Source organism: Homo sapiens, chromosome X (assembly GCF_000001405.40).
Source record: "Homo sapiens chromosome X, GRCh38.p14 Primary Assembly".
Taxonomy (NCBI): domain Eukaryota; kingdom Metazoa; phylum Chordata; class Mammalia; order Primates; family Hominidae; genus Homo; species Homo sapiens.
The window spans coordinates 110316330-110343594 of record NC_000023.11 but is presented as its reverse complement, the minus strand read 5'-3'; the positions used below and the strand labels follow the sequence as shown (position 1 = coordinate 110343594).

At 38.9% G+C, this 27265-nt stretch overlaps 1 protein-coding gene and 1 long non-coding RNA gene across 5 annotated transcripts in view, besides 8 other annotated features; one reads left to right on the top strand and one right to left on the bottom strand.

The window, feature by feature from the left end:
* Positions 1 to 27265, top strand: part of AMMECR1 (AMMECR nuclear protein 1) — a 246048-nt gene that overhangs the window by 96639 nt on the left and 122144 nt on the right. For 2 of the 3 annotated variants that reach the window (NM_001025580.2, NM_015365.3), the window contains exon 1: positions 25510 to 25996. In NM_001025580.2, coding sequence (NP_001020751.1) covers positions 25524 to 25996 — 473 coding nt within the window. In that variant the 5' untranslated portion in view covers positions 25510 to 25523. Of the gene's footprint in view, positions 1 to 25509; positions 25997 to 27265 lie in introns of those variants that run through there. The other variant, NM_001171689.2, reaches the window with a different exon arrangement.
* Positions 1931 to 1990: an enhancer, noted in NCBI's record as "active region_29854". NCBI's record gives its function as "activates an Ori minimal core promoter by ATAC-STARR-seq in GM12878 lymphoblastoid cells {active_cell/tissue: GM12878}" and the evidence as "EXISTENCE:reporter gene assay evidence [ECO:0000049][PMID:35858748]".
* Positions 2001 to 2150: an enhancer, noted in NCBI's record as "active region_29853". NCBI's record gives its function as "activates an Ori minimal core promoter by ATAC-STARR-seq in GM12878 lymphoblastoid cells {active_cell/tissue: GM12878}" and the evidence as "EXISTENCE:reporter gene assay evidence [ECO:0000049][PMID:35858748]".
* On the bottom strand, positions 9603 to 25343 carry LOC105373312 (uncharacterized). Of its 2 annotated transcripts, none has more exons than XR_938503.3 (4): positions 25147 to 25343; positions 13337 to 13448; positions 12909 to 12961; positions 9603 to 10945 (listed from the first exon to the last, which is right to left on the bottom strand). It is a non-coding gene; the product is annotated as an uncharacterized LOC105373312 (long non-coding RNA). The 2 variants fall into 2 exon arrangements; XR_938504.3 differs by having other exon boundaries at positions 13337 to 13379.
* Positions 25210 to 25544: a silencer, noted in NCBI's record as "fragment chrX:109561279-109561613 (GRCh37/hg19 assembly coordinates)". NCBI's record gives its function as "represses an EF-1alpha promoter that drives an FKBP-Casp9 reporter gene in an ReSE screen in K562 erythroleukemia cells {active_cell/tissue: K562}" and the evidence as "EXISTENCE:reporter gene assay evidence [ECO:0000049][PMID:32094911]".
* Positions 25210 to 25647: a biological region, named in NCBI's record as "ReSE screen-validated silencer GRCh37_chrX:109561279-109561613".
* Positions 25328 to 25477: a silencer, noted in NCBI's record as "silent region_20941". NCBI's record gives its function as "represses an Ori minimal core promoter by ATAC-STARR-seq in GM12878 lymphoblastoid cells {active_cell/tissue: GM12878}" and the evidence as "EXISTENCE:reporter gene assay evidence [ECO:0000049][PMID:35858748]".
* Positions 25518 to 25647: an enhancer, noted in NCBI's record as "active region_29852". NCBI's record gives its function as "activates an Ori minimal core promoter by ATAC-STARR-seq in GM12878 lymphoblastoid cells {active_cell/tissue: GM12878}" and the evidence as "EXISTENCE:reporter gene assay evidence [ECO:0000049][PMID:35858748]".
* Positions 25738 to 25797: a silencer, noted in NCBI's record as "silent region_20940". NCBI's record gives its function as "represses an Ori minimal core promoter by ATAC-STARR-seq in GM12878 lymphoblastoid cells {active_cell/tissue: GM12878}" and the evidence as "EXISTENCE:reporter gene assay evidence [ECO:0000049][PMID:35858748]".
* Positions 25842 to 25997: a silencer, noted in NCBI's record as "fragment chrX:109560826-109560981 (GRCh37/hg19 assembly coordinates)". NCBI's record gives its function as "represses an EF-1alpha promoter that drives an FKBP-Casp9 reporter gene in an ReSE screen in K562 erythroleukemia cells {active_cell/tissue: K562}" and the evidence as "EXISTENCE:reporter gene assay evidence [ECO:0000049][PMID:32094911]".

Below are 27265 nucleotides of genomic sequence, written 5' to 3'. Positions count from 1 at the left end.
GGGTTTTCTAGATATACAGTCATGTCATCTGCAAACAGGGACAATTTGACTTCCTCTTTTCCTAATTGAATACCCTTTATTTCTTTCTCCTGCCTGATTGCCCTGGCCAGAACTTCCAACACTGTGTTGAATAGGAGTGGTGAGAGAGGGCATCCCTGTCTTGTGCCAGTTTTCAAAGGGAATGCTTCCAGTTTTTGCCCATTCAGTATTATATTGGCTGTGGGTTTGTCATAAATAGCTCTTATTATTTTGAGATACGTCCCATCCATACCTAATTTATTGAGAGTTTTTAGCATGACGGGCTGTTGAATTTTGTCGAAGGCCTTTTCTGCATCTATTGAGATAATCATGTGGTTTTTGTCTTTGGTTCTGTTTATATGCTGGATTACATTTATTGATTTGCGTATGTTGAACCATCCTTGCATCCCAGGGATGAAGCCCACTTGATCATGGTGGATAAGCTTTTTGATGTGGTGCTGGATTCAGTTTGCCAGTGTTTTATTGAGGATTTTTGCATCAGTGTTCATCAGGGATATTGGTCTAAAATTCTCTTTTTTTGTTGTGTCTCTGCCAGGCTTTGGTATCAGGATGATTCTGGCCTCATAAAACGAGTTAGAGAGGATTCCCTCATTTTCTATTGATTGGAATAGTTTCAGAAGGAATGGTACCAGCTCCTCCTTGTACCCCTGGTAGAATTCAGCTGTGAATCCTTCTGGTCCTGGACTTTTTTTGGTTGGTTCAAGTTTTTTTCTTTACATGAAACTACTGAAAGCAAAAGTATGTCATGCTTACAGGTTACTCTATGCATTTATCATTCTATTAATAAATGTCTTAAGTAATTAAGTAGTATATTAAGGCCATAAACCAAGTCATTATCTCATAGCAAAGGACTATTGTTATTCAATCATCTAGAAAATGCATTTTAGGCCAAGTGCAGTGGCTCATGCCTGTAATCCCAGCACTTTGGGAGGCCAAGGCAAGCAGATCATGAAGTCAGGAGTTTGAGACCATCCTGACCAACATGGTGAAACCCCGTCTCTACTAAAAATACAAAAATTAGCCAGGCGTGGTGGCGTGTGCCTGTAATCCCAGCTACTCAGGAGGCTGAGGCAGGAGAATCACTTGAACCCAGGAGGCGGAGGGTGCAGTGAGCTGAGATTGCGGCCACTGCACTCCAGCCTGGGTGACAGAGTGAGACTCTGTCTCAAAAAAAAAAGAATATTCATTTTAATGTATGCCCACTTTTTTAATGGTCTTTTAGTTATTGATTCTAAAAGGCTCTTTATACATTACTTTGTCATCTGTCTGACATTATTACCCCCAGTGGATGCCTGAAATGGCAAATAGTACTGTACCTTGTATACACTATGTTTTTTCCCATACATACATATCTATGATAAAGTTTAATTTATAAATTAGGCAATATAGAGATTAATAACAATAGAACAATTATAGCAATATACTTTAATAAAAGTTTTTTTTATTTACTAAATTGAGAATATTTAGCTTTTATTTTTTTTTCTGTTTTTTAAAAATGAGACAGGGTCTCACTCTGTCACCCAGGCTGGAACGCAGTGGCACGATCTCAGCTCACTGCAGCCTCGACCTCCCAGGCTCAAGCAATCCTCCCACCTCAGCCCCCCAAGCCTCTTGGACTACAGGCCTGTGCCACTATGCCTAATTTTTGTATTTTTTGTAGAGACAAGGTTTCACCATGTGGCCTAGGCTGGTCTCAAACTCATGAACTCAAGCTATCCACCTGCCTCGTCCTCCCAGTGTTGGGATTACAGGCGTGAGCCACCGAGCCTGGCCTACATTTTCATTGAAAGGAAGCACTTTACAGCTTTTCTTTGGCATATCCGAATTTCCAGCCTCACTACTCTTGCAGTCTGGGGAACTTATAAAGTAAAATAAGAGTTACTTGAACACAAGCACTGTGATACCACAACAGTCGATCTGATAACTGAGATGGCTACTAAGTGACTAATGGGTGAGTAGTTTAGACTGCGTGGTTACCCTGACAAAGGGAAGATTCATGTCTCAGGGGACAGAGCAGGATGGTGCAAGATTTCATCACCCTACTTAAAATCGTCCATAATTTAAAACTTATGAATTGTTTATTTCTGAAATTTTCCATTTAATATTTTTGGACCACAGTTGGCTGTGGGTAATTGAAACCACTGAAAGTGAAACCATGTATAAAGGGGGATTACTATATATTTGAGTAAGAGCTTCTAGAGACTGCTAAATTTGCTCCGTAACTATCAGAGTGGAAGTCAGCTAATGCTGTCAAATATTTTTATAAGGCCTATGAGTATTCTGGAATTATTTTGATGCTGTTCACTTCTCCTATTTCTGTATTAAATCTAATTTTATGTACACAAAACCAGATTATGTTACAGTCAAACAGATTCCAGGAATGTTCCACAAACAATATTGTTCAGTAGTCAATAGAGGACAAATTGGACTATAATCTTGCCAGTGACTTAAAACAAAGTGAAACAAAACATAAAAAACTAAAACATGTTACTATAGTTGCTGCCATCAACTTCCTCATCATTTTTGAAGTTGGTATTAATAGTAGCATCTTTGGAATATTTCAGCACTTTTTCAGTACTACATTTATGTAGAAAGGTCTGTGCTGGCATTTAAGCCAAACTCTATCACCCTGTTTTAAAAAGTCTTAGCAGGCATACACAATTACATCTTGGAGCCTTATGGATATGACAGTAATATTGACCTTTTCACAAGAAATGGCAGAAGCTAGTTTGAGGCAAAATCAGTGCTGCTCAGAAACTTGTGCCATCATCCTTGATGACAGATAAGTATTAAAATCTCCATTGAATTATTTTCTTTCTGTGATTCAGAGTCAATAAACAATTGCTGAATGCCTAATATGTGCCAGATGCTTTTCCATACAACCTTTTCCAGTCCTCACCACCCATCTATAACATAGGTATCTTCATTTCCATATGAGGAAATTGTAACTCAGAGAGGTTATATGATTTGTTCATGGTCACACTAGTAACTATTAAGTGGCAGAGATGGGACCTGAAGCCAGATTTTCCAGTTCTAAAAATCTAGCATTCTTTTGATTGTACCACAGTTGCCCTCCTCAGCAAGACTGGATGAGACAATGTGGATGCCCCAGGCAGGCTTATGTTCTGGTGCCTCTTCACCTGCATATATTTAAAATATTTGGTCAACATTTACTTAATGAGAGTAGGGAGAGACTGAGTTTCTATTTTAAATAGTGTATGTCTTTTTTCCTTATGTTTGAAATAAAAAATTCACTACCTACACTTATAACAATAATAGCTATCATTTATTGAGTGTTTACCGTATGTCAGGAACTATGCTAACCACTTTACATGCGTTATCTCATTTAATCCTAGGAGGTGAGCACTGTTATCGTCATCATCGTCATCATCACCACCACCATCATCATCCCCATTTAATAGATGAGGCCCAAAGTTTAAGTCACTTAGCCAAGATCACACAGCTAGTAAGTAGTGGAGCCAGGATTTAATCTCTGGTAGGCTCACATCTGAGCCTATGAGCTTAACCAATATGTTGTGTGTGTGTGTGTGTGTGTGTGTGTGTGTGTGTGTGTGTGTGTGTATGTTTTGCCTTCAACTACAGCAAAAAATCCTAAATTGGCATTTTAAATTACTGATTTATTACTTTCATTTCTTTTGTTTGTTTTGTCACTCAAAACTAAATATAATGGCAGTAACTTACAGGGATATAATTATAAAATCAGATAACTTACAGGTATATAGTTATAAAATCACGTTCAGGCCAGGCGTGGTGGCTCACGCCTATAATCCCAGCACTTTGGGAAGCTGAGGTGTGCAGATCACCTGAGGTGGGGAGTTCGAGACCAGCCTGACCAATATGGAGAAACCCCGTCTCTATTAAAAATACAAAATTAGCCGGGCGTGGTGGCGCATGCCTGCAATCCCAGCTACTCGGGAGGCTGAGGCAGGAGAATCGCTTGAACCCAGGAGGCGGATGTTGTAGTGAGCCAAGATCGTGCTGTTGCACTCCAGCCTAGGCAACAAGAGCGAAACTCCTTCTCCAAAAAAATAATAATAATAAAAATAAAAATAAATAAATAAGTTAAATAAAATCACATTCAAAAGACCTTAGAATTTCTCCTTTTTTTGTTTTTTTTTTTTTTTTTTTTTTTTACAACAAACCATTTTCCACTTTTCTGTAGTTTTTATTTTGTCCTCAGTGTCCTTTTGCAATTCTCCAAACCAGGTAACTTTGGGGAAGGTATAGTAGAGGATTTAAAATTTAGATAAGGAAATGAACCCTTCATTCTTGATAAAGAGCATTGCAACATGCAGTATTTTGTTTCTCAATATCAGGTGATTGTGGAGAGTTGCCTACTTTCAGCAACTCCCATCTTGCTAATCTCACCGTTGGTGGCACACCCTTTAACTTGCACGCGCTTGTCACGAAAATAGAGTGGTTGGCACCAGTGAGGACTGGCTTGCTTTTGCTTTTAATTTTTTACTCAAAGGTCCCAGCCTCCTTAGGTGAAAGAAGTGGCCAATTTTCATTTCACCAATTACTTTAGGAAGTACTGGCAGAAACCCAAGGTATGCAGCACCATATTTATGTTTTATTCCAGGGATTTTTAAACATCCCTTTTAAATTGGCACCCCAGGCAGTTCCCTGGCTGACCCATTGCTTAATTCTCCTCTCTCTCAGGAAGGCTATGGAGGAATTGATGAATCTAATTAGGTATCCAGAACTAGAGAGTTGATGAAGAAGAAGGATATGGTTTGGATACATGTATATTGATTCAAATATTAAAGGACAATTTTCTATGAGTTTCAGCTGACCCTGGAGGGCATACAGATTCCAGAACAAAATCCATTGAGTGGATTTACCTCCCCTGCCATTTGTAAACAGGCGAAACCTGATTATAATGAATATCAGAGGGCAGCTGGAGCCTGCAGGTTGAATACTGATGTTACGGGCTGTGTAATTACTATGCAATTTTATTACCAGGCATTTCATATGTATAATTATAATGAGGTTTAGATAATTTAGAAAAACGGCTGATCATAAGCAATGTCAGGCCATCTACAATCTGAGCTTCACCTTTGTGTTAATTAAAGCAAAATCTTCAAGTAGAACTGGAAATGAAGGGTCACACCCAATGAAAGGTCTCTCCCACCCTGGCTTCTTGTCTGTCCACTCATTGTTTGTACTTCTGAGGAAAACTCAAAATTTCACTGCCTGGTACTTCTGTGTTTAAAGATCACTCTTCTTCCCTTCTCCATTCTTTGTGGGTACAAGTCTGTTTTAGGTCTTCTTTTTTCTCAAATGTCTTATTGTGTTAGAATACATGAAACATAAAATGTACCATCTTAACTTTTTAAATGTATAGTTCAGTGGTATTAAACACATCATCATGTTAAACAACCATCACCACCATCCATCTCCATAACCCTTTTCATCTTGTACAACTGAAACTCTGTAGCCATTAAACAATGACTCCCCATTCTTGCCTTCCCTCAGTCCCTGGCAATCACTGTTCTGTTTTCTGTCTCTATGATTTTGACTATTCTAAGTACCTCATATAGGTAGAATCATACAGTATTTGTCTTTTTGTGACTGGCTTATTTCACTTAGCATAATGTCCTCAAGGTTCACCCATGCTGTAGCATATTGCAGAGTTTCCTTCTTTGTTAAGGCTGAATAATGTTTCATTGTATGTATATACCACATTTTGCTTATCCATTCATCTGTTGATAGACACTTGAGTTGCTTCCTGTTTTAGCTATTATGAATAATGCTGCTATGAAAATAAGTGTACAAATATCTCTTCAAGACACTGTTTTCAAGTCATTTGGGTATATACCCATGAGCAAAATTGAAGGATCATATAATTCTATTTTTTATTTTTTTGGGAACTGCCATACTGTTTCCCACAGTGGTTGAACCGTTTTACATTCCCACCAACTGTATACAAGAGTTCAATTTTCTCTACATCCTCACCAATACTCTTTATTTTCTGTTTATTTATAGTAGCCATCCTATGCTTTGGGTCTTAATAAGATGTCTCTGACTAGGATTGAGATTTTCAAATCAAGTGTAGAAAGTGGAGGCAGTTTTGTGTCTTTATACCTGAAAAAACAAACCCTCCTCCTTCAAATGCTGAAGAAAAATACAGTGATGACATTTTAGAATTTCAAATGAGAACAAATAGTCTAAAAACACAACAGAATATTTGAAATGGAAACTGCCCCAGAAAACTTGAATAATTAAAGCTATAATGTATTTTGAGCACCTACTATGTGACAGACACTAGGAAAAGTACTTCCCACATATATTATCTCATTTAATCCTTTCAATAACTCTTTTAAGAAATGGGTCCTAGAGTACCCATCTCTGCAGATGAGGAAACTAAGGTGTAGACAGGTTTAAACTACTTGCCCAAGGTCACATAGCAATTAAATGGCAGAGCTGGAATTCAAATCCAGGAATGACTAACTCTAGAGGCTTTTCACTTAACCACCAAGAGGACCTGCCATTTCCTTAGATGTTTACAGGCTCTAAAATAATTTCTTTGTGGAAGGAATTCAAAGGCAAGAGAGTCAAATCAATATTTCCATCTGTGTATAAAACCTACATGATTTTTGACATATCCAAGAATAACATAAATTACAGGAAGGGCATTTGGGCATTCTATCTCTCATTCCTGGGGGTGGCAGCCTTCCCTACCTCAGGTTCATCCCATAAGCCTATCCAGAGTCCATTCTTGGCCAACCAAATTGATCTCTGGAAAGTGACTTGGCATGGCTCTTCCTACATTAATTTCATCAAAGCAATAATAATCATGAAATCATGGGCTCCATATTAGATTTTTTTTTTTTGAGACGGAGTCTTGCTCTGTTGCCCAGGTGATCTGAGTTCACTGCAACCTCTGCCTCCTGGGATCAAGCAATTCTCCTGCCTCAGCCTCCTGAGTAGCTGGAACTACAGAAACATGCGACCACACCTGGCTAATTTTTTTTGTTTTTTTGTTTTGTTTTGTTTTGTTTTGTTTTTTTAGTAGAGACAGGGTTTCACCATGTTGGCGAGGCTGGCCTTGAACTCCTGATCTCAGATGATCCACTCACCTCGGCCTCCCAAACTGCTGGGATTACAGGCGTGAGCCACCACACCCAGTCGAGATGTTTTTTTAAAAAAATACACATCAAAATAAATAATGTTCATCTACGAGTACCTAAAATCATCTCATGTACCACCAGGGGTATATATACAGCATACGGAATAGCACGGATCTGGATGATCTCTAAGTGACTTTCTAACCTTGACATGCAATGAAACACCTAACCTCTAAAAATAGCTCAAAAAGGTTGAGACTGGTTTAGGCAGGATGGTAATTTGCCAATCCTTGCTCACTTTCTCCTCCTGCAGTCTCCAGTCTTTGCTTAACTGTCCTCCATTTTTGAGAGATTTTTCACAGCTTTTCAGAAGAAACTGGGCACTTCCAAGAGAGCAACCTCCTTTTATTTCTGCAGCTACTGATCTTCATCATCCAACTTAGGTGTTACATCCTTAGAAATGAGGCTCTCTCTGACCTTTTTCTGACCACCTACTCTAAGGTAATCCCCCATAAAGTTACCCTGTTTTACTTTTCTTATAGCACTCAGTTATCACTATTTGAAATCATCTTATCTGTTCGTTGACTTGCATGCTGCTAGTCTCCCCACTAAACAAGCTCCAGGAGGTTCATGGCATCTAGCATAATGCCTGGCATGTACTAAGCACGCAAAGAGTATTTGCCAAATGAATGTACATGATGAATTAGGGATTCTAAAATTGGGATAGGGCTTTGGAGCTGATGAAATAGAGGCAAAACAAGGAAAGCTGAATTTGGGTGATGTAATTTATCCAACTAAGGTAAAGTGGAAACTGATATGGTAAAGTACAACACTGTCTGAGGTTCTTACATCACTCATTCTTTCTTGAGCACATACTATATTCAGGGCATTGTGCTAAGCTGTCCGTGGTGGGCTGCTATAGAGCTCTGGGACCTATGCCATCGGCAACCCCTAGTTTGATTCATTTATCCCATGTTTATTGAGTGACTACTACGTGTGAAGCACCATTCTATGCTGGATATCACAGTAATCAGGACAAAGTTCCTGCCCTGTAGTGAGGAATGTATGTGTCAAATCATAATCAGACACATAACTACATGGCATTTTTTTCCCAGATGGCATTTCCTAGTGATCGTCTGACTTGCCAGCAAATCCAGATCTTTGCTCCCAAGGTGGTCTTGGAATCATTTCTCCACCACCCACCCTCTGCCCACTGATACTTTTATATTGATACTAGCTACCATGATTGGGTATGCACAGTGTTAGGCACTGTGCCAAGGGCTTTACATTCATTATATGATTGAATCTTCCCAATAACCCCATGAAGAAGATACTATTATTACCCCCATTTTACAAGGCTGAAATTAAATGATTTGTCTAATATCATGTAGTTGTTATGTGGTAGAATGGATTCAAAGCTGGGCCAAGTGTTCCCTAGAGTTGTGCAATGCAGTCACCATCCAGAGTCAGTGCCCTTAACCATCAGTGTGCAATGGTGCCTCTTATATATTACATATGCCCTCCCTTCACTTAGGCAATCTGATTCTGCAGAGTCTGGCAACCCAGACACTCTCAGGTTATAAGGTTTGCCCAAGGAGCTGGCAATGAAGCAGGCAGAAATGTGCCAAGGTCTGACTCTGTGTGGTCCAGAACATGAGGCATCAGCAACTATATGTTATGAAGCAGTTGTTACAGTTCATTACACCCTAGGAATAACACTGTCCTCAGTAAAGATCAAATTATTGAAGATGTAGTTCATAATGGAAACTATATATCTGGACTTCTTTCATTTGAAAGCGATTAAACACAAGAAAATTAAAGAAAAGCTAAGGAAAACAACTAGTGCATTTGTAGAGAAAATATTAAAAACATATCTCAATACAGGCAACCTAGATTAAGATAATAAATATATTTGTGCTATCAGTTTTATAATAATATATCCTTTAGGTTCAGTATGGAACTAAAGCTATCAAATATGGTTTCTTTTTCACACTGATTTCTGCAATTTACTAAAATATACTCATTTGTGCCTTTTCAAAGCAATTTTTCTTACCTTATTTAATTTTTGTGTCATAGAAATACTGTAAGGTAGAGGGAAGGTGTTATCTTTGTTTTTAAAAAGTATAAATTTAAGGTACAAAGTGAGCAAGTAAGTAACCAACAACACCAAATTAGAATTGCAGCCATGAAATTTGGTCCACACACCAGGGTGCAAAAATGTCACATTTCTTTCTTTTTTTCTTTTGGCAATGATTTATTGAATATGGCACCAAAAGCACAAACAACAAAAGGAAAAAGAGGTAAGCTGGACATTATGAAAATTCAAAACTCTTGTATATCAAAGAATACCAACAGAGTGATAAGGCAATCCATGAAATAAAAAGAAACATTTTTAAATATTATATCTGATAAGGAATTGATATTCATAATATATAAGGAACTCCTACCAGACAACAACAAAAGCAAACCATCTGATTTTATTTTATTTTATTTTATTTTAAGTTCTGGGGTACATGTGCAGAACGTGCAGGTTTGTTACACAGGTAGACACGTGCCATGGTGGTTTGCTGCACCCATAAACCCATCACCTACATTAGGTATTTCTCCTAATGCTATCCCTCCCCCAGACCCCCACCCCCTGACAGGCCCTGGTGTGTGATGAGCCCTGCACCCCCATGTCCATGTGTTCTCATTGTTCAACTCCCACTTATGAGTGAGAACATGTAGTGCTTCCTTTTCTGTTCTTGTGATAGTTTGCTGAGAATGATGATTTCCAGCTTCATCCATGTCCCTGCAAAGGACATGAACTCATCCTTTTTTATGGCTGCATAGTATTCCATGGTGTATATGTGCCACATTTTCTTTATCCAGTCTATCATTGATGGGCATTTGGGTTGGTTCTAAGTCTTTGCTATTGTGAACAGTGCTGCAACAAACATACGTGTGCATGTGTCTTTATAGATTTATAATCCTTGGGTATATACCCAGTAATGGGATTGCTGGGTCAAATGGTATTTCTAGTTCTAGATCCTTCAGGAATCGCCACACTGTCTTCCACAATGGTTGAACTAATTTACACTCCCACCAACAGCATAAAAGCGTCCCTATTTCTCCACATCCTCTCCAGCATCTGTTGTTTCCTGACTTTTTAATGATCGCCATTCTAACAACTGGCAAAAAATGTCACATTTCTTTATATCCCTACAACAAAATTCAATCTGCTCTGAGCCTTTCACCTTTCCAGCTGGCTAAAAATTCAATCTCCCTCATGGTTTTTACCTCCTTCTGTCAAGGTTGTATGAAGACCCTAGCAAATGATACCCAGAACACAACTTTCAGTGTAGGTCCTATGCCCTTTTGTGCATACCCAACATTGTTGATATGTTTGTCAGGCAAATCCCCTTAAAGTTAGACGGGGTAGCTGCTTCTGTGCCACTCTTGCACATTGGTGGTGATAGCAGGGTGTTTTGGCTGAAGCTGGCATCCTCACGGACTAGTATTCAGACTTTCTTAAGTGTACCATGTCTCCATTCTCTCTTGAGATCTTGTATCTTCTTTAGCACACTAAAAGGCAGCAAAAGTAGTCCTTGATGCTCATGGAATCTACCATTACTCCCGTCTCCTCTCTTGTCCCGGAGAAGCTCAACTTCTATGTCAGACAGCTTCTCCCACCTCTACTCAAAAGCATTCACTTGTTAACCCTCTGGGACAAGTCAGCATACTTTTCCTCAATGAACCTAGGCTTCTGAAATCAAAAGCTCTGGATTCAGGTGATCTTCCTGAACTTCTGATTTTGACCTTGCAAGCAAAAGCACCTAAGAAAGGGGAACAGAAAGGCTTGTCTGTGTTTTGATTTGTAGGAGGGAAAAAAATCTACAACAACAAGGACAAATTATTTAAAAATAATATTTGAATACATAATCCTTCCCCAAGCCCTGCTACATTTCTTAACGGGAGTTTTTAATTTGAGGCATGGCACCAGTAAGCAGCAGTAATCATGGATCTACATTTTTGCAGTTAATTTCAATATTGCATGTATTTATTGAACACACACAATGCTACTACTACTGTACTATGTATTGTATGGCATATTTAAGAAGAAAAAGATATATTCTTTTATCTTTGAGATGTAAAGAAATGTATCCACAATATGCTCTTTGACAGTCTGTTGCTGGTAACTTTCAGATCCCACTACCTAAGGGGCTAAAATTCTCTTTTCTTTAGAATATGAAAAAAATTACTTCATAGATATAATTATTTTATTTAGAGAATGCCCTTTATGGAGAGTATTTTCCTTTTTTATTTTCTACTTCTTGTAGTCACTCAAGAAACATTATATGGTAGTCATGGGGCCAGGGACATAAAGATTCACAACATTGTCCTTGTCCTCAAGGAAGGGAGACTAGGTGGCAGAAGGGAATAGATCTATAATATCAGAGTAGCCTGATAAAGGAGGCAATATTTAATTTAGGACTTAAAGGATGAATTGAAGTTTATTAATAAAGAAGTGGAGAGGAACATTCCAAAAAGAGGAAACAGCATGGGCAAAGAAGGGGATAAAATAAATTTCCTAAAATAAAAATAGAGAAGTGAAAATACATAGCATACTCAAGGAACTGCCAATAATCTGACCAGAGTACAAAGTCTTGGGGGGAGGATAATGGTGAAAGACAACGCTAGAGAACTAGTCTGCAGTGTGATTGTAAATGTTCCTATATGCAATGCTAGAGAGTTTGGGGTTCTCCTTATAGACGATGAGAAATTAACCAAAGGTTTTAAGCAGGAAAATGATAAGATCAGAACAATGTTTTCTGAATATTCCTTCTGACGGAGGTGCCAAAAATAGACTGAATATAGAGAGAGTAGTCACATGGCTCTCAGTAGGAGCTGATGAAATAAGGCAATAGAAGTGGAATGGATTTAAGGTAATATTGATGGACTTAGTATGAGAATGAGAGATAAGTAAGAGTTAAAGATGACTCCCAGGGCTGGGTAATCAGGTAGATAGAGAGGCCATTAACCAAAATAGGGAATACCTAAGAAGGCCAAGGTTGTGTATAATAAGTTTTTGTCTCAGATAAGTTGAATTTCAGGTGTCTTTGGGATATCCATGTGAAACTATCTAGTAAGCCAATTGAAAACTCAGCCTGCAGCTTGGTTACAGAAGTCAGGGTTGGAGTTAAGATATTTGGGATTCATCAGCAAACAGATGTTGAGTAAATTGATGGCAATAAATGCAGAGCAAAAGGAAAAGTCTGAGGATAGAGGCCTGAAGGACAGGTAGCTGGAGTAAGAGAAGACCCTAAAAGAGAGTTTGGGGTTCTCCTTATAGACCATGAGAAAGAAAGCAACAATCAGATGAGGGCTATTAGAGAAACAAAGGAGAAGAGAGGTCCTCGAATGAAGGGGTGGTCTTTAGTAAACACAGAGTAGAGGTCTGATAGGACAAGGACAAGATAGGGCCATTCTTGTGGGCAATTTAGACATCACTGGTGACTTTTGTTGGAGCAGTAGTAGGGGCATAAGTCAAATTGCTGTGGTTTGAGGGCTAAAGAGATGAGGAGGGTGGAAACAGTATATGAGAGTTATTCTTTCAAGTAGGCTAGCAGTAAACATAAAGTGAGAAATAAGTTGGCAACACAGTAGGCAAAGGTAATATGGAAGAATGTCTATGGAGAGTGAGAGTGAAGAAATGAGAGAGAAAAGGGTTAATGAATGGAGTCAAATCTCAGACAAGTTAGTGGAAGATGGGTTTTAGTCCAATATTTCTCAAACTACCTGTGGTGAAGGATCAGGTTTTCAAATTTTCAAGCTGTTGCAGATTGGTACTTCTGTGAAATATAATAAAAATGAGTTACTAGAAAAAGTGCAGTACAGAAACAAAGACATTCAAAATATAAACCCTAATTTTTCATTATTAGAGCCAACGAACATAAAATTAATTTATCAAATTGCTATGGAAGTTTCTAAATTCTTACTCTCAATTTCAGTGCTTATGCTGTTGTGGATCAGTATCAAACAGTTTGAGGATTGGAAGGGGTCCATGACCACACCTTGAGTAACACTATTCTAGACCATAGGTAGAGAGAGCAGGAAAGGAGGTAAGAAAGAACACCCCTTCTTCCAAGAGAGGAGGGAAGCAGGAAAAGGATGAAAAACAGAGAAAACTTTGGAATGAAATGAAGAAGGGTTGAATGGATTCTCACCTGAAAGTCGTTTTTTTTGTCGTGAAGTAGGAAGCTTCATTTTCTGAAATGATTAAAAGATGAAGAGGTTGGAGTGGGAGGATTGAAGTGTAGTAACGGGTTGAAACAGCTGCTGTGGGAAATCAGAAAGGGAACTGAATAAAGATGAATTAAAGATTTGTAGAACAATAGAGAAGGCCCAGCTGAGGCTGAAAATCATAATTTTTTTATGGAGCCAATCAGCTCAATTTTGTGATTTATTTTTTCTAACAGTTTTACATCCTCAGAGCAGGAGTAGAGAAAACATATGGTACAATACTGGTACTATGGTGGACTAGATATACAAACTGTCCCACGGAAAACACTTAAAAAGCTTAAAAGCACCTAAAAACATGAAATTCATTTATGTTTCATATACACCTTAAACACATAGCCTGAAGGTAATTTTATACAATATTTTAAGTAATTTTGTGCATGAAACAAAGTTTGTATACATTGAACAAAGCAAAGGTGTCATTATTTCAGCAACCCAGGTAGACAATCTGTGGTTGTTTGGCATCACCATCATTCCTGACTCTGAATTTATATGCTACTGACAAGCAATCATTTTCTTACACTTATTCTCACATAAGTATTAACGGTTTAAAAAAATGACATACCATTAATATAGGGAAAAATTATGTGTTCAGTGTAATGAAGCAGCACAGTGGCATCACCAGAATACCAGGATCAGCTGTTAAACAACAAACAATGGCAAGCTTTCCGTCTCCACCTACAATGCTGTGCTTTGATTAAAAGGTTACTGTACATTGTATTTCATTTTTTTAAGGTGAGAAGACACAGAAACAGTTGAAGGACCAGGAAGTGGGTCCTATAAAGATGAGAAGGTGTTCTGCTGGATGGCTTTAAAAAAATATTTCCTCCAAAGTCATCTGCCTGATTAACAATGGATTTTTTCTAAAACAAACAATCCCATCAAAAAGTGGGCGAAGGATATGAACAGACACTTCTCAAAAGAAGACATTTATGCGGCCAAGAAACATATGAAAAAAAGCTCATCATCACTGACCATTAGAGAAATGCCAATCAAAACCGCAGTGAGATACCATTTCATGCCACTTAGAATGGCGATCAGTAAAAAGTCAGGAAACAACAGATGCTGGAGAGGATGTGGAGAAATGGGAACGCTTTTACATTGGTGGGAGTGCAAATTAGTTCAACCATTGTGGAAGACAGTGTGGCGATTCCTCAAGGATCTAGAACAAGGAATACCATTTGACTGAGCAATCCCATTACTGGGTATGTACCCAAGGGATTATAAATCATTCTATTATAAAGACACATGCACCTGTATGTTTATTGCAGCACTATTCACAATAGCAAATACTTGGAACCAACCCAAATGCCTATCGTTGGATAGACTGGATAAAGAAAATGTGACACATACACACCATGGAATACTATGCAGCCATAAAAAAGGATGAGTTCATGTCCTTTGCAGGGACATGGATGAAGCTGGAAACCATCTTTCTCAGCAAACTAACACAGGAACAGAAAACCAAACACCACATGTTCTCACTCATAAGTGGGAGTTGAACAATGAGAACTCATGGACACAGGGAGGGGAACATCACACACTGGGGCCTGTCAGGGGGTGGGGGCCTGGGGGAGGGATAGCATTAGGAGAAATACCTAATGTAGATGATGGGTTTATGGGTGCAGCAAACCACCATGGCACGTCTATACCTATGTTACAAACCTGCATGTTCTGCACATGTATCCCAGAACTTAAAGTGTTAAAAAAAAAAAAAAAAGAGTCAAACATCTAAAAAAAAAAAAAAGAGAAAAAGAAAAAAGGAAATAGACGTTTGTTTTACTAAGCCATTATATCTTTGGGTCTACTTGTTAGAATACTTTATTTAGCTGATACAGGCATTTTAATTAGACGCATTCTTTTATTTAATCTTTACAACCATTTTACGAAGTATGTACTGATATGCAATTTAAGAGATAAGGAAAATGAAGTTAAATTACTTGCTTGAAGTTGTGCAGTAAATGAATGGGTGATATGCTAAAGGCCTAAGAAGATGTTTGCTACAGCCCCAGCCAAGCTATGCTCAAAGTAATCACTAGGCCTTGTTGTTGATCTGGGGAGCAAAAGTTTGCTGAAGCAGTAAAAATATCATGACATCAAAATTTTCACTGGAAACCCACAGCTAGTTTATAAAATTAACACCCTTCCTCTTTACCTTTTAACTATTTCTCTCACTCCATAACTCTATAAACAGCATTTTGTTGCCTGTCTTCTCTCTGTGTTCATCATTTCCATCCGGATCAGTTATCATTCTTTTCTGGCAGGCCTTATTATATTGATCTCCTTATTTATGAGACTAGAAGAGAATAATAATCGATGCTTTGTGGTCTCAGTATTTGCTCTTTTCAGGATAGAAGTGTTTCTGTTCAAGAATTGCTTGTAAGTATATTTCACTGAACACTGTAGTGATGACTATCAAAGAAATAATACTAATAATGATAATAATAACAACTACTTAAAATAATATTTCTAGGAACTATCGCTAATTAAATAAAAACCCTCCTTTGACCTAGTGCTCCTCTACAGCTACCATCTCATTTCTTTGTTCCTCTTCAGAGTCAAGTATTTCAACAGAGTTGTCTATATACACTATCTACATCTCCCCACCACCCCATTCACTTTTTAGTGCACTCCAGTCTGACTTCTGGCCCTGCCACTCCAATGAAACTACTCATGTTATTGCAACATGCAACATGCATGTTGCTAAATATAATAGACACTTCTCTATTCTCATTTTATTTGAAGTCCCTTCAGTATTTAACATCATTAACCATTCTTCCTTCTTAAAAGATTTTCTTCTTTGGATATTGTGACACAACACTCTGCTGGCTTTCCCACTATGTCAGTTGCTACTCTTGTTTAGTCTCATTAGCCAGTTCATCCCAATATTGTGCAACCTCAGGACTCAATCCTGGTTTTCTCTTTTTTCTTTATATTCCTTCTCTATGTTATGTTGTCCAGACCATGGCTTCTAATACTGTCTGTATGCTAACTCCCACATTTATTTATCAAGTCAAGACCTTTCATTTGAGCTCATGACATGCATATCTGCCTACCTATTTCATATCTCTATTTGCATATTTAGCGGACACCTTAAACTTACATTGTCAAGAAGTCTTGATATCCTGTGGACCTGCTCCTGTCCTTATCTTTTCCATGCCAATATGTCATCACCACTTATTTGTTTACCCAAACCAGAAATCTAGTCATAATCATAAATTCTTTCCTTTTCCTGACCTCAACAAAATATGTGTCAGTAAGTCTTGTTGACTCTACCTCCAAAATTTACATGGAAATTCTCCTTTCTTTTTATCTTAACCGCCACCACCTAGGTCCAGGCCTATCCTGAATTAACGAAGTCTCCTGACTGATCTCCTTATCTCTGCTCTGTTCTCCTGCATTACATTCTCCAAATACCAGCAAAATTGATCTCACTAAACCGTCCAGTGTCTTTCCATTGCTCTTTGAATAAAAGCCAAATTATTTATCATGGCTACGAATGATCCACTCCTGCACCTCAATAAGGAAACAGAAGACTTGAACAACACTATACACCAACTAGAATTAACATATACCTATACAGCATTCCTCCCAATAACAGCAGAATACATAATCTTCTCAAGTGCACATGAAACATTCTTCAGGATAGATCATAAGCTAGGTCATAAAAGAAGCCTCAAAAAACATAAAAGGATTGAAATCACACCAAATATATTATCTACCACCGTGGAATGAAATTAGAAATAAAAAACAGAAGGAAATTTGGGAAATTCACAAATATGTGGAAATTGAATAACACACTCCTAAATAACTAATAGGCCAAAAAGTCACAAGGGAAATTAGAAAATACTTTGGGACAAATGTAAACAAAACCACAAAATATCAAAACTTATAGGCCAGGCAAGGTGGCTTACACCTGTAATCCCAGCACTTTAGGAGACCGAGGTGGGTGGATCACTGGAGATCAGGAGTTTGGGGTCAGCCTAGCCAACATGGTGAAACCCCGTTTCTACTAAAAATACAAAAAAATTAGCCAGGCGTGGTGATGCACACCTGGAATCCCAGCTACTCAGGAGGCTGAGGCAGGAGAATCTCTTGAACCCAGGAGGTAGAGGTTGCAGTGAGCTGAGATCGCACCACTGCACTCCAGCCTGGGAGACAGAGCAAGACTCCATCTCAAACAAACAAACAGAAAACAAAACCAAAAGAAAAAGGAAGAAAAGAAAAGAAAAAGAAACTTACGGAATGCAGCTAAAGAAGTGCTTAGAGGGAAAATGATAGCCATAATACCTATATTTAAAAAGAAGAAATAATTCAATTCAATAACCTAACCTGCCATTTCAGAAGCCAGATGAGCAAACAGAAGCAAACAGAAGGAAATAAATAAAGATTAAAACAGAGATAAATGAAATACAGAATAGAAAAACAATAGAGAAAAGTAACCAAACCAAAAGTTGGTTCTTTAAAAAGAACAGTAAAATTGACAAGTCTTTAGTTAGACAAAAAAAGAGAAAAGACTGAAATTACTAAAATCAGAAATGGGATGATATTACTACAGACCTTACAGAAATACAGGGAATTATAAGAGAATACTATGAGCATTTGTATGACAAATTAGATAAACCAGAAGAAATGAACCAATTCCTAGAAACATACAAACTATCAAAAGTGACTCAAAAAGAAACAGAAAAATTTAACACACCTGTAACAAATAACTAGATTGAGTCAGTAATAATAAAAACTCCCTGTGAGGGAGAGGGGAGTGGAGATGGTTAATGGCTATAAAAATATAGATGGAATGAATAAGATCTGGTATTTGATAGCACAATAGTCAACAATAATTTATTGTACATTTAAAAATAACTAAGAGTATAATTGGAATGTTTGTAATGCAAAAAAATGACAAATGCTTCAGGTGATGCATATCCCATTTTCCTGATGAGATTATTGTACATCGTAAGCTAGTATCAAAATATCTCATGTACTCCATAAACACACTATGAATGCATAAAAAATTCAAACTAAAAAAATAAATGAATTTTAAAACTCCCAACAAAGAAAAGCCCAGGACCAGATAGCCTCACTGTTAAATTCTACCACACATTTAAAGAAGAATAAACACCAAATCCTTCTCAAGCTCTTCCAAAAAATAGAAGGAAACTGCCCAAATCATTTATGAGACCAGTATTTTCCTGATGCCAAAACTAGACAAAAACATCACAAGAAAAGAAAACTCAGACCACTGAATGTAGATGTACAATGAATACAGATGTAAAAATCCTCAAAAATACTAGTAAATGGATCCAGCAACATATAAAAAATAATTATATACCATGATGAAGTGGGATTCATCTCAGGACTGGAAGGTTGATTTACTATCCCAAAATTAATGTAAAGTATTAATTTTATGGTATATTAAAGTAATATGCCACATCAACAACATAAAGAACAAAAACCACATGATCCTGTCAATAGACACAGTAAAAGCATTTGACAAAAAATCCAACCTGTCATGATAAATTAAAAAAAAAAAAAAACACTCAACAAACTACCAGTAGAAGGGACCTTCCTCAACCTAAGGGAAGCTATTAAAAACTCACAGCTAACATCATACTTAATGCTAGAAGACAGAAAGCTTTCCCCATTATATCTGGAATAAGATAGGGATGTCTGCTCTCATCAATTCTATTCAACATTGTACTAGAGGTTTTAGGCAAAGCAATTAGACAAGAGAAAAAAAAATACATCCAGATTGGAAAGAAAGAAGTAAAACTATCAGATGACACAATCTTGTGTACACAAAATCTTAAGAAATCCAACAAAAAACTATTAGTAGTAAGAAATGAATTCAGCTCGGTTGCAAGATACAAGATCTAAATTATGCAATGAGGCCAGGTGTGGTGGCTCACGCCTGTAATCCCAGCACTTTGGGAGGCTAAAGTGGGCAGATCACTTGAGGTCAGGAGTTCGAGACCAGCCTGGCCAATATGGTGAAACCTCGACTCTACTAAAAATACATAAATTAGCTGGGCATTGTGGCGTGCACCTGTAGTCCCAGCTACTTGGGAGGTTGAGGCAGGAGAATTGCTTGAACCTGGGAGGCAGAGCTTGCAGTGAGCCAAGATCATGCCACTGCACTCCAGCCTGGAGTGAGACTCCATCTCAAAAAAAAAAAAAATACAATGAACAATCCAAAACTGAAATTAACAAAATTATTCCATCTTCAATAGCATCAAAAAGAATAAAATAGGAATAAATTTAACAAAAAAGTTTAAAATTGTAATCCCAACTTTGACTCTGAAGATGGGATTCTAAAATGGTACAGTCAATTTGGAAAACAGTCTGTAGTTTCTGAAAAGGTTAAGTACAGAGTTATAATATAACACAATAACTCCACCACTAGGTAAATGAGAGAAATGAAATGAAATGAGAGAAATGAAAACACACATCTACACACAAACTTGTAAACCAATTTTCTTTGCAACATTATTCATAACAACCAAAAAGTGCAAACACCCAAATGTCAATCAATTGATGAATGGATAAACAAAATGTGATATATCCATATAACAGTATGTTATTTGGCCATAAAAAGGAATGAAGTACTGGTAGATGCTACAACATAGAGGAAGCTTGAAAACATCATGTGAACTGAAATAAAGCAGACACAAAAAGGCAAATATTATATGATTCCATGTATATGAAATGCTCAGAATAGGTAAATCCATAGAGACAGAAAGGAGATTAGAGGTTGTCTAGGGCTGAAGAGGAATAGGAAGGAATGAAGAGTAACTGCTAATGGGTATGGGGTATCTTTTTTGGGGTGATGAAAGTGTCCAAAATTGATTATGTTGAAGGTTGCATAACTGCATGAATATTCTAAAAATCATCGAATTGTAAAATTTAAATGGGTGGATGGTATCCTTTGTGAATTATATCTCAATAAAAAGAAGAAAGAAAGAACAAACCAGAGAATTCTGGAGGAAACACAGAGCAGAGTGTAGCATGGGAAATTTCAAGCCCCTTAGAAAAGCTATATGCTACCATGAAGTATCTGCAATAGAAATAGCAGCTTGAGGTTTTAGAAGACCGTCAAGTGGCATGAAAGAAATCTAGAATCCCTTGTGGAATCTTGTGGAAGATGCAGAAGTCAGCTGAGGATTAAGCAGCAGCCTACTTACCAGGCAGTGGCTGTGGCATAAGGTGAACAGCCCCAAAGAAAAGGCTGTAGGGTGGATAGCCAACGTCAGGGGCCAGATGGAGGATCTGGCTGAAGTTTGGAGGGTTAGCTGCACTATTAGGAGCTAGGGTAGGAATCCCGAATAGTAAGTAATGAGAGACGACTGAGCTTCCTGACACAATCATTGTGTATTACTCATGCTGAGAGAATAAGCCATAAATTGTGAACATTTAAGCAGTGAATAGAGTGAGGCAAAATGAGCTACACTTCAAGTGGGATCTAGCAGAGGTTATAGGGATCAGATTTCTGCTCCTCGGTGCCATGAGTGAGTTTGTACTTTACATTGATTATTTGTACAAAAGAGACTTAATTCAGAACAGACTTTTATATTTTAATTGACAATGTTAATCCTCACCCTGCCAAAACTGTGCCTCCAACCAACTGGAATAGGTGCCCCAGAACACAATGAGATTAGTTAAACAGCTATATTTTTATAATTAACTTTTCAGGTGAGGCCAATTGGGTTTCATTATGTACATTTTCAAACCCCAATATATGTACAGAAGCTAGTAGATGAATTCTTCTTTTAAAAAGAGAGAAAAGAGAAAAACAGTCAAGTAAAGACTTTCCCAAACTATAGTAGACACCTTCATGTTTTGATTGTTCACAACTCCTCTAACTGCCCCAAATAACACTCTGTTTGATCATCTTCTTCCTAGAAAGCCTTTTTCTCCAATCTACAACTAGCTAGCTTTATTAATTCTTCCACATTCAGAGTAGATATTAGCATATCTAAATCTCATTAAGGAGTTTATAGAACTTTCTCTAAAGGAAATAGGTAGCAAAACAACATTCAATTAGTTTGTACTCAAGTTGACAATAGAAGATGTAAATGAAACAACTAGAAAACAATCCAAGGTAGATCATGGTGCTTTTGCTCATAAATGTGTTCATTAGATAAAGAAAGAATTTTGGAAGGAAGGATCTGTTTTGTAATCAGAAAAACAAAAACTGATTTACGAATTTGAATTGAAAAGTAGGTAAAGAATTTCAGTATTTACTCACGTATTCATTCAAATATAAAAGGGAACTGATTACCACCTCCACCACAACAACCATGTGTTATACGTGTACAAGGTTAGATCAAAGTGGTAGCTAAGAATATTACATTCTGCAGTTGTTCAAGGATGACAGTTGAGAAAGTTTGATGACAGAGGATAAAAATAACACTTGTTTGGGCATAAATGGCAGGTTTTTTTTTCAATGAAATATGTGAATGTTCCTCCTTTTACCCACAACCCCAGAAACCTAAGAAAATAATTTTGCAACATTAAGTTCACCACCTCATCGAATTATAATTATTCTTATTTTCTGAAATGAAAAAATAACTATGTTGTAAACACGAGAACAAATTGAGGCAATGATAATATATTAACTAACTATTGGGTTTAATTCAATTACTAGCTTTGCTGCACAATAAATAATATGCATAACCTCTGTCCAAGTATTTTTTTCCACAGTTGTAAAACAAAGCCTTTGACAGGAGTTAGTTAACAGCAATTTAGAGCTGCCTCTAAATTGCAGAAATAAAAATGCTCACAATTTGAATGTGCTTTGTTGACAAAGAGACTATGGCCTATTTTTTTTTTTTAAGTGGAATCTTCAGCTCCCAGATTGACAGTCAGTTACAAAGAGAGGAAGGCAACTTAAAGTTTCCTCTGGAGGGTATTATCACTGCAGTCCAGTATCAGCAGTGGGTAGAAACCATGTGCTCTATCATATTTTGACCTTTATACTTCAAGTCAAGAGAATCCTGAGCAAGGTCAGTTTTTCTATCCACCCAGTGTGCACTTTGCATAGATGTAAAAAAATTTTTTTCACAGAATTTGTTCTGTGGATTTAGTTTATGTTTGAATGAAATATGTTTCTTTTTATGCTGGTGACTTTACAAGAAAACAAGGCCAGGAGAGGCATTTCCTCAAATGCCTAAAGGAGACATTACCACCATCACCACTACTTGCCAAGCGATTTATAAAGCATCTTGAGGCTCAAGGTTAGTATGGGAGATGAGCCAGGCTCAGGAGAAGTTAACACAAAGATAAAGGTTAGTGTTTTTCCCCCTTTTAGTCAGCCAATACAACAAAGTACTTAGATAATAACCCCTAGCGGTCAGGTAATGATGTATTTTCTGCAATTATCACATTTGTGTTTGTCTATTTTCTTTATGCTAGTGAGGTTTGGAATTGGAATTGAAAATCCTCTAGGGAAAAGCTATTTTTGTAATTCAGCTGGGGTGTCCTTGTCTTTGGGTTTTCCCATTGCATCAGTCCCTTAGCCTGGCAGGATAGCCATGATAGTGCTTTGTCTTTTAGATGAAATGCAGAACTAAGGACATGACTACTGGTGCTTATTAAAGATTCCTTGCTATTTTTCACAAGAGTAGGGGCGTTAGACTCTTGTCTACTGGCCAAATTCTAAATTGGGAGATTACATTCTGCTTTCCTAAATTCCCCTAGCAGAAGCAGCCATCCATGGTATCCTACTTTGCTTCCTGTGCTAAACTGTTTTGTGATGTCATTAAATGGCTCTGGTTTTTTACTCTAGAAATGATCACTTTAGTGGGGTGGGGAGTAAATCGATACCTATTGTCTGATATTATGTTCAGTCTAGTTTCAAAAAAATTAAAAGGTAGCCTGTGGTAGTTAAGGACAAAGTACAAAACAAAACACCCTAACGTACAAAACACCCTAACATACCAGTTGTTGTGGTGCTTTTTAAAAAAACCAATCTGCTTTCTCTTCTGTAACATAGACAAAATATTAATGCATTTTTTTACTCCACTAGTAATTGACAAAGAATTGTTATTTGTTTCATACTTAAGGTTAATTCTAACAGTGATGAAGTTTGAGAGGATGAAATTACATATCACCGACCAATTAAACTATCCCTTTTGTCTTTAGGCTGCATCTAACCATTCCAGATTTTCATCTATCTATCTCATAAAATCTTTTTGGAAGGAGATTTTTCATCTTTCCTTGGTAACATATTTCAGTGTCTCTCAATCTTTCCATAAAAACTAAGTTCTTATTTCTGTTTAACCTCGGTTCCACCTGCTGGAGTGTAATGTCACTATCTTTTGTCCATCCTTAGCCTTGTTATCATATATTGTTAGTGAGAGGCAATGTAGTATAATGGCATGGTTTTTGGAATCAGACATGCCAGCATTCCAATCCTAGCTCTGTTACTTTCTAGGTGTGTGATGTTGGGCAAATTACTTCTGAGGTTTAATAGCCTCATCTGTTAATGAGTAACCTCAGAGCATTGTTGTGAAGATAAAACGAGATAGTATCTTATTCTGAAGGATTATGGGGTAGGACGAGGTATGGTATTGGAGACCTAAAAAGTGTTCAATACATACTATAATAGCTATTTATCTGATTATGTGCATGTATCTGACTTAATTCATAAACTCTTTTAGAGCGGGAGGCATACTTCCTGAGTACGCCCTGGATTTCAACAGAAGTATAGTGTTGTGCACATAGTATGGTGCAGAGGCTCAATATTACTGAATGAATAAATTGTTTTGTTTTTATTCCCTGAGTGGAATGAACAGCCCCCAGCTATCTGCAAGATCCCACGCATGTAGAAAAAAGGTGACAAAAATCAATCTGCAGTTTTTAAATATGCAGATACCTGACTTTATCTAGATGTTTTAGCATGGTGTAGATACAATGCAAATAACTTACGCTTTCTATTTCTATCACGTTCATTTCTACGAATTTTAACATTTGATTATTGTCATTATTTTTATTATTAAGCTGCACTTAGGCACCCAGAAAGGGACTGACTCATATGTCTCCTCATCCATCCAAGCATTTAATTGAGAAATTTTAAAAATGAATATTAAGAGCTAATTATATACTTGAACAAAATCTTTCAATTTGTGACTAAGTACATTACCTTCCCTATTTATCTCTAAGATCTGAGCACTACAGATAATATTCCTAATTGCTTTGTACCCAAGCCAAGAAATAAAAACCAAAACCAGAAAAGTCCACCACTGCAAGTCCCAAAGCACAATTAGTATCTTTGAACCAGTGAAGTATTAGTTAGGACTTTATTTTTGGCTTTTAAATGTTTAAACGGGGCAAGGAGGGTAAGTTGGGGGAACAAGTACAAGATACATAGATTCAGTCGGACTTGAATATTTCTCCATAAGGAAAGGAAAGAGTACCCTGGTGTGTGCTTAGGCTGGAATTAAAAAGACAGCAGCGTGGCCATTTCCTGGATTGCTTTGTACACACTTTACAGGGGCGGTCTCAGGTATGGAGCTCTGGGCACCTGCTCGCTCACACTCCAACAGTTCAGAAACCCGTGTATTTGAGGCCGGGTGGCTCAGGTTCCACGTAACTGGGCTTAAGTGTCATTAATACTGCTTGCGGCGGGGGGTTACTGAGCTGTGCTTTGGGACCTGGATGCTTACTTCGGACTTTCTCCTTTCTTCCCCCCTACCCCCACTAGTTTCCCTTTCCCTCCTTCCTTCCCGGGCGTGCCCACCTTCTCCCTTTGCTCCCACTTTCCGCTGTCTGACTCTTGTTTCCTTCACCTTCCTTTCTAATCGGCTTCCTGTCTTCCAACCTCTGCCGGCCGGAGAGATTGAGATTGGGGCTGGGGCTGGGGCTGCGGCTCAGAAGAGGCACGAGTCGGGCGGGACAGGCGCGAGGCGCCCAGCCGCGAAAGCGAGGAGCGCGCACCGAGGCGGGGGCGCGCGCGGGGCAGCCGCGTGGCTAGGCAGACGGGGCCGGGAGCGGCGCGCGCGCGCCCCGCCAGCCTCTGGCGCGCCCCCGGCGGCCTGAGCCGCAGCGTGCTCGCCCCCGCCGCCAGCTCGCCTCACTTATGGGTCGGAAACGCTGCGTGGGGGAGACTGTTCCAAGATGGCGGCGGGTTGCTGCGGGGTGAAGAAGCAGAAACTGTCCAGTTCGCCCCCCTCTGGCTCGGGTGGCGGTGGTGGCGCCTCCTCCTCCTCCCACTGCAGCGGAGAGAGCCAGTGCCGAGCTGGGGAGCTGGGACTAGGAGGCGCCGGTACGCGGCTCAACGGGCTGGGAGGTCTAACCGGAGGAGGTAGCGGCAGCGGCTGTACCCTCTCTCCCCCCCAGGGCTGCGGCGGCGGCGGCGGGGGGATCGCCCTGTCGCCACCTCCGAGCTGCGGAGTGGGGACCCTACTTTCTACCCCGGCCGCCGCCACCTCTTCCTCACCCTCCTCATCGTCCGCCGCCTCGTCCTCATCGCCGGGCTCCCGGAAGATGGTGGTGTCAGCAGAGATGTGCTGCTTTTGCTTCGATGTGCTCTACTGTCACCTGTATGGATACCAGCAGCCCCGGACCCCCCGATTCACCAACGAGCCCTAGTGAGTACCGTGCCCTCCGCCGCCCTCTCCCTTGCGCTCGGGATGGGGCTCAGAGTTGAGGCAAAGTGCGAGTCCGCCTCCCGGCCGGCGGATGCCCCTGCCCTCTCGCTGCCCGGGTCCCCGGAGCTACTCAACTGAACTAAGGGCACCCTGCGCTTTTTGCCCTCCGAGGCAGGCACCCCACACTTGGAGCAGGGTGCTGCTGCAAGGAATGGCCCCGTGGCTCCTAGAGGTGTTAGCTTTCTCTTTGCGATGACTTCGAGGAGTTTTGACTCCTTTACTTGTCTCCTTCACCACCCCCACCACCCCTCACCCTGCCCCGGTTTTGGAGATCTGGGTTACTCAAGGTGTTGACCTCTCCTCACTTTGGTTTCCATTACCCCAAGTGAAAGCCCCGCCAGTATTCCCGCCCCGCGTATCTTGCACATGGAGAACTACTATCCCATTGCAGGATGAAAAATAGCAACTATCCAACTTCTGTTAGTGATGGAACTTAGCTCTGGAGCTTGTGAGGTTACCCATCTTCTCCTCTGGGTTTTCTTGTGCCCTGGGAAGGGGGGAGGTTTCTTAAAACACATTTTTCCCTTACTACTTATTTTTATCCAAATACACCCATTAAAATGTGTTTCTCGTGTAGCGAGCGCACTGCCGGCTTCCTCACATTTGAAGAGTGCGACCTTTTTTTTTTTTTTTTCCATTCCACCGTCTGGATAATAGCTCATTCAAAGAGAACTGTCCCCACAGAGCCACGGTCAGTTTGTACATTAAGCGTGCATTCGCTTTTGTGTCGATTTCACTTTTTAAGAAATCCATGTTATACTTGATGATTTGAGAACAGTTAAATAGTAAATGTGTAGGAATTGTTATGGTTTCCTTTGGTTTTGTATCTTAAATTATTTTACCCTTCAAGTGTGTGGTTGAAAAATTTTAAAATAGCACTGTTACAGCTAAAAGCCAGGTTAATTCTAATCCCTGTCCATTTGGATGTGTGGGAGGTGGGGCATATGGTTTTTTTTTTTTAATGTGTAAACTGAATGTAAACTGACTTTTTGCGTTAAATGCTAGACAGAATGTAAAGACCAAGAGAGGGCAGAATGAGAAAAAGTGCAATTGCTTTTATTTGAGTACTTAGCATCAACAAGAAAAATAATACAGAAAAAATTTCAGTGAAACTCGTACTGAAAGGCATCAGCCCCTTTTCCAGCTAAGACAAGTGCCCCTTGTCCCCCATATCATAAATACCTGAATTGATGTTCTTTTAAAACTGCT